Source organism: Homo sapiens, chromosome 2 (assembly GCF_000001405.40).
Source record: "Homo sapiens chromosome 2, GRCh38.p14 Primary Assembly".
Classification (NCBI taxonomy): Eukaryota; Metazoa; Chordata; class Mammalia; order Primates; family Hominidae; genus Homo; species Homo sapiens.
Window position 1 is genome coordinate 148,476,817 of NC_000002.12, and position 12,418 is coordinate 148,489,234.

At 35.2% G+C, this 12,418-nt stretch overlaps 1 protein-coding gene across 31 annotated transcripts in view; it reads left to right on the plus strand.

Moving 5' to 3' along the window:
- The window catches only part of MBD5 (methyl-CpG binding domain protein 5), a 496,045-nt gene that overhangs the window by 455,890 nt on the left and 27,737 nt on the right, over positions 1–12,418 (plus strand). For 22 of the 31 annotated variants that reach the window (XM_047445056.1, XM_011511472.3, XM_047445068.1 and 19 more), the window contains 2 exons: positions 6,294–7,319; positions 8,926–9,134. In XM_047445056.1, coding sequence (XP_047301012.1) covers positions 6,294–7,319; positions 8,926–9,134 — 1,235 coding nt within the window. The remainder of the gene's footprint in view (positions 1–6,293; positions 7,320–8,925; positions 9,135–12,418) is intronic. The other 9 variants (XM_047445088.1, NM_018328.5, NM_001438862.1 and 6 more) reach the window with 1 other exon arrangement.

Sequence of the window (12,418 nt, forward strand, 5' to 3'; positions counted from 1 at the left end):
TAGCCTGCTCTGCTCATTAAACAAAATGAGATAAGACTTCCAATTGGAATATTGATGAAGTGTTTTAACTGTTAGGTACTGTAGTGCATATTCAGAGAACAGAAATTATACCAGCAAGAGACTTATACTCTTTTCTCTACATTTGTTTTCTCACAAATATTAAGAAAAATGTGATCAAAGAGGAATTTTTTAAAAAAAACCCTATTACTTGAGTAAACTGAAAAATCCCAAGCATTTTAAAGTTAATTCCAACAGTTTTCAGAGTAACTATATGTGTTAAGAAAGGAAACAAAACATTATGGGGAGGGGGGAAGAAAAAAAAACAAACTCTTTTTCTGACTCCATCACCACCACGAGACTGAAAAGACTGATCCCCTTGATAGTCATAACTACACAGACATCATATTCCAAGATTCAAGCTGCATCCCTTCTACTGCTCTTTTCTCCTCCCCATCCTCTTGGCCCTGTTGAGTGTGGAGAGCATTTCCTCAGATACTGCCATAGCTCCCTTTCCCATCTTCTCTACCTTCTCCTAAGTCCTTTGGTTTAGGGCCCCTTCCTCCCTCCCTTGAATAGAACAAAGTAGCCTCTAGTCCCTAAGATTTCGTTTCTATTGCTGCTAAAAGAATGTTAATTTATATCAGAATCCAGAGCACAAAGATAGAGATTTGATATGTTTTTGTAAATACACATTACCATTCCCTCTTACTAAAACTTGAGAAAATAAAGTCTCGTAGAAAGATCTAGTATTCTCATAAAAGTTATCTTTCAATTTATTATTGTTATCATTAAAAATCGGTCCTTTAAATATAGAGGAGAAAATTTACTATTTCAATGGGATTGAAAAGTGAATTATATTTATTAGACTCACTAAGCCATGATATTTTCTCTTATCTACATGCATCCATTTTTATTAAGGATTACCATTGTCCCTGTTTGCAATGCAAGTACACTTACCAAAGCAAATGATAAAGGTCAGATGGTGAAGGCATACACATTCTATATGACTTATTTCTTAGGTTCTTGAATTTTATAGATAAAAATCAGTGTTTGGACATATTAATTTAGAAAAGGTTTCTTAGCATAAAGTAGTATTTGTTCAAAATTAGAGCTAAACAAAATGGTATAAGGAGGTTTTAAAAATACTTCATTGGTCTCTTTGATATGAGCTTTATATCCTATCTTGTACACATCCAAAGACGTGTATAACAATATTATTAATATTTAAGAGACAGCCATATAAGAGTTTAGCACAATACAAACAATGACCAGGAAGAAGAGAAACGAATCAAAAGAGGTAGACATTAACTTTGTTTTGAAAAGTAGTTTTAAAAATGAGACAGATAAAACATGTCAAGGATTAAATTAATATTAGGAAAATATCCTTTAAAATTTACTCGTGCTGTCATGTACACACATATGCATATACATATATCATGAATTATAAATGTGTGCAGAATACTGTTTACATACAGAAATTTGTCTGGAGCAGGCACAGTGGCTCACGCCTGAAATCCCAGCACTTTGGGAGGCTGAGGCAGGTGGATCACAAGGTCAGGAGTTCGAGACCAGCCTGGACAATACGGTGAAACCCTGTCTGTACTAAAAATACAAAAGTTAGCCGGGCGTGCCTCAGGAGGCTGAGGCAGGAGAATCACTTGAACCCAGGAGGCGGAGGTTGCAGTGAGCCAAGATCACATCACTGCACTCCAGCCTGGGCAACAGAGTGAGACTCCATCTCAAAAAGAAAAGAAAAGAAACCTGTCCTACTGGGCAAGCTACCACTGTCATTTCCTCATTGGACTAGACTGTCTTAATCTCTGGGTGTCAAAGCATGAGATCTCGCACCAAAGTTTGTTTAGGTGGCCTTCCAGTCTTCTCTCCTACTCTTGAAAAGCAACAGAGACAATGAGAAAAAGAAAGTATGCCAGTTCATGGTGCTGCTGGCCAGTGTGAAATAATCATTTTTTCCCAGTAAAGGACTTCTCCAGCTTACTAACTTGTTCCAGGATCCCAGCTGCCTTTTGGTTATTTAACTGGTAAACACGTAATGAATAATTTGCTTCTTAAAAATCTCAGCGACTGTCCTTTTTATTCAATTAAGCACAAAATATCTTGGCTGCAAAAACAAAACAAAACAAAAAAACAGCTTTAACAAAACATTTTTCCCCACGGTTTAACAGACCATAGGGTTTTTGTGCAGAACTATGAAATACGTTCACCAGAGAGTGCCTATTCAAGATTAAGTGGTTCAGAAATAAGCAATTTCCAAATTTTCCTCCATCTATAAAATTTCATACAAATTCAGGGTCCTCTTTGAATGACTGTAAGCATGAATGAGTAACTTTAAGAACTCAGAGTAATTTGGGATAGACCTCTCCCTCTGTGGGGTGATTTCAACTTCTCGAAATATCTGGAAGCCTTCTTAGGTAATTTGTCATCCTGCACCCATCTCCTTTCCAATGTCCCTTATCTCCTGGCATTGGACTAATACACTGGAGAGTTCATTTTCACTTTCTCCACAAACGGGTGGTATTCTTTCCCTTTGTCCACAAACACACCAACACATAGCATCAAACTACCTACTTCTAAACGTTGAGTGCAAGTTTTATGATTTTACAATCTTTTTAATACTAACAAATATTTTTTGAATACCGATCATGTGTCAGAGACTGTATTAGGTCTTGGAAATACAGTGATAAATAAGAAATGATTTTTGTCTTTAATGGTTTAGAAAGATGATTTCAAATGTCTTCACTGCTTATCTAAGGCAGCAGGTTCAACCATGGGTAGGAGGAGCCGGAAGCATAGGGAAACCTCACAATATTTTCAGTCATATTTCTTTGTTTTGGGGAAGCACAGGACTCTTCATTACCTTCCATCTACTTTATTATGTCTTTGTTGTTTTTTTTTTTTTTATCATCTTGCTTCTGCATAGAGGCCCTTTATATTTCCTTTTCATCTCTCAAATTCCAGACCAAATATTATACCACTTGACTAGTTTTCCCTGACATGTTCAGTTTTATAGTGGTCTCCTTATTATACACCTGTTATACCTCTTAGCATATTGCCTTATAGTTATACTAGCAATATAAGAAATGAGCTTTACATTTTTCTAGTTCATAATAAACTCTGAATAAATATATATTTGAGAGAAGAAAAAGACAGAGAGATTTCTGTGTTTCTTTCTTTACCTAAACTCTTAGTTCCTTTAGGAAAGAACAAGGGTTTTTTTAAAATTTTTATTTTCATGGTTCTATTCTATTGTCCAGCAGAGTACACCTGTTTGTTGTATAGATTTGTTGAAAATTAAAGAAAAATTTAAAAAACTATACCTTCATCTTTGTACTACATTTAAGAAGCTTGTGTTATTCACCACTTTCTTGATGGTAAAGCAAAAATACACCCAGAGTATCTATACTTCGCTTCTTCTAATTCTTCAATAATATTTAGATATTTAGAGCTTTTATGTTATCCCAAAATGGCTACTTCCTTGAATCATAAATGTGGATACTTGTCTGTTGCAAAATAAAGATTAAAATTATAATAATCTCTAAGGAAAGCCTTCATCTACAAAGCCTTGCCATGTACACTCTAGAGCATTTTGAAAATGTGTTCTCCCTTTGGTTAGAGAAATTGTGATCTCTACATCTAAATATGTCATTATTATTTAGCAGAGAGAAAAACTTGCCACAGATAGTGCCACAAGTAGTGATTACCAGTAAATAAGACTTTTTATTTAAACTCTTAAAAATATTTGTAAAGGTTTAATAAAAGTTTTAAAAAAATTAAAAAGATGGTGTCCAAATGGAAATAATCCATACTATCTATGGAAATAGCAGCAAGATTTAAGAAGCAGTTAAATGTTTAAGGTTTTGATTATTTTGTAACAAATCTGAATTAGTATTTAAAGAATTGTATACTATATGCCTACTTCAGTATTTGGTATGTTTTCTTACCCTACTCTTGGTGAATGTGGTCATTATTTCATAAATATTTATATATTTTCAAAGAGGAGTTTTTAAGATCTCATTCTTTAAAACACTGAAAACTTAAAAAAAAATAAAGGCAGACCAAGACAGCCAGGAAAAATGACAAATCCTTGCTATAGGGATGTTCTGTAAAGTGTGTTGGATGTGCAGATTTGTACTTACTACTATTAGCACAGCACCACTACTATGACTACTAATGTCAATAATGATGATAACTCCTTTTATTTTTATAGACTTTTCCATATTTCAGAACTTTTGCTTCCCTTTTTTTGATTCTCAAAATAATCATGCCAATTACGAAATTTTTTCTAAGGAAAAAGTTCAAAGGTAGCAAATATCACATGTAGAAAGATATTTATCCCTGTATTATCTATAATGATGAGAAATCAAAATATGAATACCAGGCTTTATCAGAGTGGTTCAATAAATATAGTAAATACATACACTACACAGTTAAAATATAAATACGAAGTCTATTTATCAGAAAGGAAAAATCCTTGTGTTATTCTATTAGGTGAAAACAAGAAGAATATAAAATTATATTCATATTACTGTTACAACTATGGAAACATTTCTGTGTATTTGGATGAAGCCTCAATGGTGACATGATAAAATGTAAAGTTTTTTAGGATAGCATGGCATAGCATAGCCCAAAATGTTTGAGTTATTTTAGATTTTCAGTGACACTGGTGTTGTTCATTATGCCATATATGTGTTTAGTATTTTTAAATAAAACTAAAAATGTGTATTCTTAAAATAATAAAATATTTGTCAAATGCATGTATTACATAAAACAATGGATTTACAACAGGGAAAGACTATTTACAAAAAAGTGATTATAGGTTCCTTTTCAATAGATGTGGTTTTCACCCTATCTACCTCACCCCTTGTGCATCTGGATCACCAGGGGTGATTTCAAAGAATACTACTGCGCAGGCTGTACCCCGAGAGATGAGTTTTCAGCGGGTCTGGGTTAGGGCCCAGGTATTGGTTTGTTTTTGTTTTTTTAATTTCTCCAGATAATTCTGTTGTGCAGCTTGGGTTGAACATCACAAAAACAGTTATAAATAAGTGAAATTTTATCTTTTCAGATATTAAATTCCCAGAATTTTCATCCCTAGTGTAAGGCTTTTAAGAATAAGAATGCTATGTAAGACTGGTCTAATTTAAAAAATCATAAGTACAAAGTATCTTTACGCAATCAGAATGGTAAAGATTCTTAACTATTGTTTTTATTCATTGTCAAAAATAATGATAAATAGAGTATTGGTGAGAGAAATGAGCACTGTCTTCCACTGCTTATAGGAATGTAAAAACTTCACAGGAGGGTAGTTTGACAATATGTATTCAAAGCTTCTAAAATATGTAAACCCTTTTGTCCCTGGAATTTCACTTTTAAGAATTTATCCTTAGAAAATAATTAGGTGAACTGGCAAAGAAGTGTTAATAAGAATAATTGTCATAGCGTTGCTTACAATAGTAAAAGATTGGAAATAATAAAAAAACTCATGACTGTGGATTGATTAAAGTACAGTATATCATACATGATACTAATAAAATGGTTCTGTAGCTATATATAAGCTAACATGGAATGATAATCACAATATATTGATAAATAAAAAAGCTACAAAATAACATTATAGCATGATTCTATTTTTAAAAAATATATGTAACATATATATGCATATGTGTATATATATATGCATGCCTGCATATGTATAGACATGCAGGTAGAAAAAGCCCAGAAAGCTATAAACTAAAATGTTAATAGTTAATCTTCACAGGTACTTTTTATTTTCTGCCTTATATTTTTATGTGCATTCTACTTTTGTGGGTTTCTTTTCACTAAAAGGAAGTAGTAGTTTTATAAATAAAGACAAATAACTTTTTTAATGAAAAAAATTTTTAAAATAAAACTACTGCTTTTATCTACCCAATTGAATGAAGAACGTGGATTCTCCCATCTTCCCCTTTCACTTGTCTGCCTGTGAAAAACAAGCTATTTGATAGTCAGCAACAGCTATTTCTTTTTTTAAAACCCCCACCTCTCCTGCCACCACAACTCACCAGCTATTTCTCAATAAAACGTCTTCAATATATTTATTTTCAAAAGCATACATTCTAAACTTAAGTCCCATTAACAGATGTCAAGTGATCTGATTACAATTAATCTAGTTACAATCAATGAAGGTGCCATGGAACAAATAAATTTAAATTTATGTTAATGCATTTTTATGCCTAGTCTCACATAACATTCATGATTAATAACTGGGTTTTGTGTTTTTTTTTTTTTCATTTTAGGCGGTTCAGGACCATCATCCTCCATAGCCATAGCGGGCACCAACCACCCTGCCATCACAAAGACAACATCTGTTCTTCAAGATGGCGTCATAGTCACCACTGCAGCTGGAAACCCACTGCAGAGTCAGCTACCCATTGGGAGTGATTTTCCTTTTGTTGGCCAGGAGCACGCACTTCATTTTCCATCCAACAGCACTTCAAACAACCATCTTCCACACCCCTTGAACCCCAGCCTCCTCAGTTCTCTACCTATCTCTTTGCCAGTGAATCAACAGCATCTCCTAAACCAGAATCTATTAAATATCCTCCAGCCTTCAGCAGGAGAAGGCAAGTCTGAGATCAACCTCCACCCTTTAGGTTTTCTCAACCCGAATGTAAACGCTGCTTTAGCTTTTCTCTCCAGTGACATGGATGGGCAGGTATTGCAGCCTGTTCACTTTCAGCTCTTAGCAGCCTTGCTTCAGAACCAAGCCCAAGCAGCTGCCATGCTTCCCCTGCCATCTTTCAATCTGACCATCTCAGATCTTTTGCAACAGCAAAATACCCCTTTACCCTCATTAACACAGATGACAGCCCCACCAGACCATTTGCCAAGCAATCAGTCAGACAACAGCCGAGCTGAGACCCTTTTAACCAGCCCCCTGGGGAACCCTTTACCAAGCTTTGCAGGCAGTGACACTACTTTTAACCCCCTGTTCCTCCCAGCTGTCAATGGGGCCTCAGGATTAATGACCTTGAATCCCCAGCTGTTGGGAGGTGTCCTGAACTCGGCATCGGCCAACACCGCTAATCATCCAGAGGTTTCCATAGCAACCTCCTCCCAGGCAACCACTACCACAACCACTACATCATCAGCAGTGGCAGCACTGACTGTCTCAACACTTGGTGGGACAGCAGTGGTGTCAATGGCAGAAACATTGCTGAATATATCTAATAATGCTGGGAATACACCTGGTCCAGCTAAACTCAACAGTAACTCTGTGGTGCCACAGCTACTTAACCCTCTACTGGGGACAGGTCTACTTGGTAAGTTAAATTTTTTCACAAATTTTTTACAAAAGAAACGTTTTTCTAATTCTATTTTCTCCTTTTTAAAAACTCCATTTTGTCACACTATTTTTAAAAATGTTTTTGTTATGTCACAGCTTGCTTAAGGAACTAAATATAACAACACCCACACACAACCATAGTTATACAAACATGAGTGACTTTTTCCTCTTTCCCCTATTCTAGCAATACTAAATATCATTTTAATCTGCTTTCTCTTCTAATTCTGATGCCACCTAAACCTAACCTACCCATCACCTCTTAAACCAAGTAGAGTCTCATTTTTCAAATAATAAAGCACAGGTACATCTTAAAAATCACTTTTATTTGAATTTTAGTTGGTGTGGCATCACAGGGTTAGTATGAGCAGCTGCACTGTGGATGGAAACAGATTGAGAAAGTGTTTTCCAGGTGAACCCTAAATAAACAAAACTAAATGCTTGTCTAGCAAAACAAGAAACAAGATGTAAAAACACGCAAAGCTAAAGTTTTCCCAAGTTCAAGGGAACAGACAGCCCCTCTAGCTGCTACTAGATTTCCTCAGTCAGTATTAATTTTTTGACTTTTGTGGCTTAAAAATACAGTTTTTCATCTGTATTATCCTATCACAAAATAGTTCGAAAATAATGCCAGGTATATTTAACTGATGGATATAGGTAACTATAATATAAAGTGTGGGGATGGTGTCCATAAAGTCTAGAAACAGGGAAATGTACATCATGATGTCAATGGCATCTTCAAGGTGTAAAAAATTTGTTTATTATTTATGTGTTTTTGATTTTATGAATGCCTTTATAATATAGTATAATTAGTTCTATTTGGCATTGAAATCTTTGTAGTTAAATAAACTACGAAGCATTACAGATTTACATGTTTCAAGTTACAAGACAATTTCTATGACATTCTCCTCAAGAAAATGTCAGAGTAATTTCAAAATAATTTTGAATTTTGAATATAAATTTAATTATTAATCCTACTGATTATATAATATTTATTTTGAATGATTATGACAATGAATTCTTTTGTGTTGTTAGCTTTCTTTTCCATGTTAATTTTAGGTGACCAACCTTCTACTGCAAAACAAAATGCACGTTTCTAAACCAAATCGATGATTTGATTTGGTATCTATTGATGATTATGGCTTGAGAACTAAATTTTGTAAACAAGGCCTGATCAGGCTCACTTATTTTAATTATCTGGTCAGATACTTACAATTGCTAAAACATTATAGGACTAATTTCAACCTTTAATTTTAGGTGCTCTAAAATAGATCTAAAATCTAAAAATAGATGAAGGAATCATATGACACTGCAGCTCAATATATAAGGACTGCCTAATGAATAGAGCAAAGACTAAGTAGTCTTTCCATGATGTAAAATTAAAAAACTAATTATACAAGATAAAACTAAATAATAAAGCTACTCTTTCCTTACCACTTAGTAAGACTTTGAGAAGTAAAAAAGAAAAGCATTACCCAAGTAAGCATAGCACTTAGTTTCTGTTTCAGGAATTCTCGGGTACAAAGAGAGGCATCGAATCTCCGAAGAATCACATTTATTTATATTTTATGTTTTTCAAACTGTAGGTGATATGTCATCAATAAACAATACTTTGAGTAACCATCAACTGACTCATCTACAGTCGCTGTTAAACAACAATCAGATGTTTCCTCCAAATCAGCAACAGCAGCAACTTCTCCAGGGGTACCAGAATCTCCAGGCGTTCCAAGGACAGTCCACAATTCCTTGCCCAGCTAACAATAACCCCATGGCTTGTCTGTTTCAGAACTTTCAGGTACTCTCCTCTGCTGTGTCATTTTAGAAGAAAACAATGTCTGAGTTTGTTTAAATACTTAATTTGGGGGAAAGGGTGAAAAAAGTAGGTTACGTGCCCTTTCACCTCTATTTACTGTTATTTCTCAGTCATGAGTATTGTTAAACATTCCAGTCTTTTGTGTGAAGGTTTTCTTTTTTTAATTTTGTCTGAAGTATCTCAGCAGTTCTTTTGGAGCTGTTAGTAAAAACTGATCGTGTGACCCTCATAAGCCCTTTTGTCATTTATCATTGTTCTCATGACTGAGACTCACCTCCCTTGCATGCCCACCTGTCCACCCTCTCCAGCCTCAGCTCTCACCACTCTTCCCCTGGCTTCAGCCACATGGTATTTCTTTAGTTCCACAAAGTGAATAAATTCCTGCTAGGTTAAGGAGGTAGGTGGAAAGGGTAACACTAAATCCACATAGGGAGAAAATATGGGCTTTTTAAAAATAATCTTGGGGTAGAGAAGGCTCTTTCAGCATGACAGAAAACCAAGGCAGTCAAAAGGAAAAGTAACAAATTTGAATAGATAAAAATTTAAAATCTCTGTATGATCAAGCATATTCTAAACAAAGCTAAAGACAAATGACAACCTGGCAGAAAATATTTTCCTAATACATATTAAATAATTAACACCTACAACATAAAAAGAGCTCCTACAAATCAGGAAGAAAAAGGACAATTGATTAGAAAAAAATTAGCAATAGATATGAACAGACAATTCACAGAAATTGAAAGATAAAGTATTAAAAAACATGAAAATAACAATCAGAGTTACATAAATTATCACACTAATGTGTCCATCAGATTGATGATACCCACTGCTGACAAGGGTGCAGGGAAATAGATTCACTCAGATTACTGTTGGTCTGATTATATGCTGATACAGTCCTTTTGGAGGGTAATTTGATAGCATATCAGATTTTTTAAATATCTTTTGACCAGAAGCTCAGCTTCTGTGTATTAATATCTCATTTTAGAGAAATCTTCAAATGTGAACAAACAAGCACATATCAAAATGTTCAGTGCAATATAATTTGAGGTGTCAAAAATTATGAACCACTCCATCAGTAGGGAAATAGTTAAGTATATTATGGTACAGTATATCCATCTACCTGGTGGTTTAGAAAATTAGGTAGACTTACATAATCTGATATGGAAAGATCTGTAAGACTGCAAGACTCCAGTGCTATAGTATTGCAGAACAGTACTTTTAAATCTGGAAGCTGTAAATATAATCATACGCTAAAGGAAAGACCCAGAAAAGGGGAACATCTTTATGTTCAAGGGATAATAAATAAGGCAGGATTCCTGAGGAGGGGGTGTGGGATCCAGAATCTAGGACCATCCCATTTAGGTTGAAAGAAAGAAGGAGGGGAGCAAGGAAGGGAGGTAAGAATGATGCACTCCAGTGCTGGTTAGTTCTAAGAAAGGAAATAGGACTGGAGTTTAGGGTAAGAAACTGAGTTTCAGCGAGAAGTAATGATGAAGAAAACTTGTATCTTTATGATAATATATATATCTTCCATAGTAAAATAATTTAGAAAGGAAGAGGAAGTGCTCAACCGTGTCACTGAGAAAAAAGGTAAGATAAAGCCTGAAGAGAATCCATTAGATTTAGCAATTAGGACATCATCAGTGACTTAGTGGAATGCAGTTTTGCTGGAGTGGTGAGAGCAGGAGCCAGATGGCAAAATGGAGGAACAGTGAATAGGAGGTTAGGAATTAAAGAGTATAGATTAAAGAAGTAGATTTTAGCTGTTCTTGACACACACACACACACTACTATATGAGATGATAGGCTAATTTGTTTCACTCTAGTAACAACTTTACCATCTGTATACGTATTCCATAACATCATGGTGTTAACTTCAAATACACACAACAAAATTTATTTCTGAAAAAAACTTAACTTTGAAGAATGTAAGAGAAATAGGGCAGTGCCCCAGCAGGGGGTCGGGGGTAGGATGAATGCAAACTTTAAAATATGTAAGCCATGAACATAGTCATGTGCTATAGGAAAGACCCAGAAAAGTGGAAGAGATTGAACATAAAGAAGGGAAGGTATAATAAATAAGACAGGATCCTTGAGGAAGGGGCTTGGGATTCAGAACATAAGTGGAGGGCACACCCTCAGAGAGCAGAAGGGACCCCTCATGTGGGAAGCAGGACAGAATTTAGGACGGGTATAGTTGCAGAGAAGTCTGCTGCCAGGGGGCAGGGAGTATCAGAGTATAAGAAATTGTGAGAATTCTTGCCTGATGGGCTTTATTTTCTCATTACGTAAGATCATCTACTAAGAATAGTCTCGGAGATGGTGAAGAAGTTGGTGAATATTTGAATAGTTGTGGAAATGATTGATAACTAACTAGAAGATCTAGGATTGATGGGCAGCAATAAGCCCTCAACTGAGGTTGGAAGCTACAAATTCCTATAGACAAATATCAGCATCCTCACTGTAGATGTAGATAAGGCAGGCAGTTGAATTGATCCAAGATTGGGATTTTGCCTGGTAAATGTAGACAGGGTGATAATAGCAAGAGAGAGGCTGATGTGTCGACAGATCCCAGGTTCTGGATTAGCAGGGAAGGATGTAAAGAAAGAGAGAGATCATTGTGGAAAAAAATCTGAAAGTTCAAAGTATCAAGGGTCTAGAGCAGTAATTCTTAGATGGTGCGGGGGTGGGGGGTGGGGGGTAAAATTAGAATTACCTTGGGCACTTTTTCAAACTGCCCTCATCCTTCCTATACTGGAATTCTGATATGCTCCCCTGGTAAGTATGCTCTCCTTCCACCACTTTCCAATTGAGAATCACTTCTGCAAACAGCCATTGTCACTATTGACAGCATGGGGATGTGGCCTGAAAAGGTTGAGGAGCAGGTATTACTACCCCATCTGAAAACTAGTGTCATGTTATTATTAAGAAAGGAGTTTATATGTTTTTTTAAAATTTTATATTGTATTTCACTTAGTTAAGTGGAAACATCAGTGAGTTAGAAATCATTTTCAAAATCTTTCTCCTTTGCTAATTTGATTACCTGTGACTTGACTCTTTTTGAATCCTAAATTGCAAAGACCTGTAATGACACTAAATAAATGGAGTCATCCCAACCTGAGTACGTTTTCTGTCCAGCCACTTCAAGTTTAATTTTTCTAGAGAATGTTTCGCAGTGATGATTTTTAAAAATCTGTTGAATGATTTTAATCAAAGAAACAGCATGCAAATATAATCAAGACATAAGCTTTCCTATACAAAGTGAC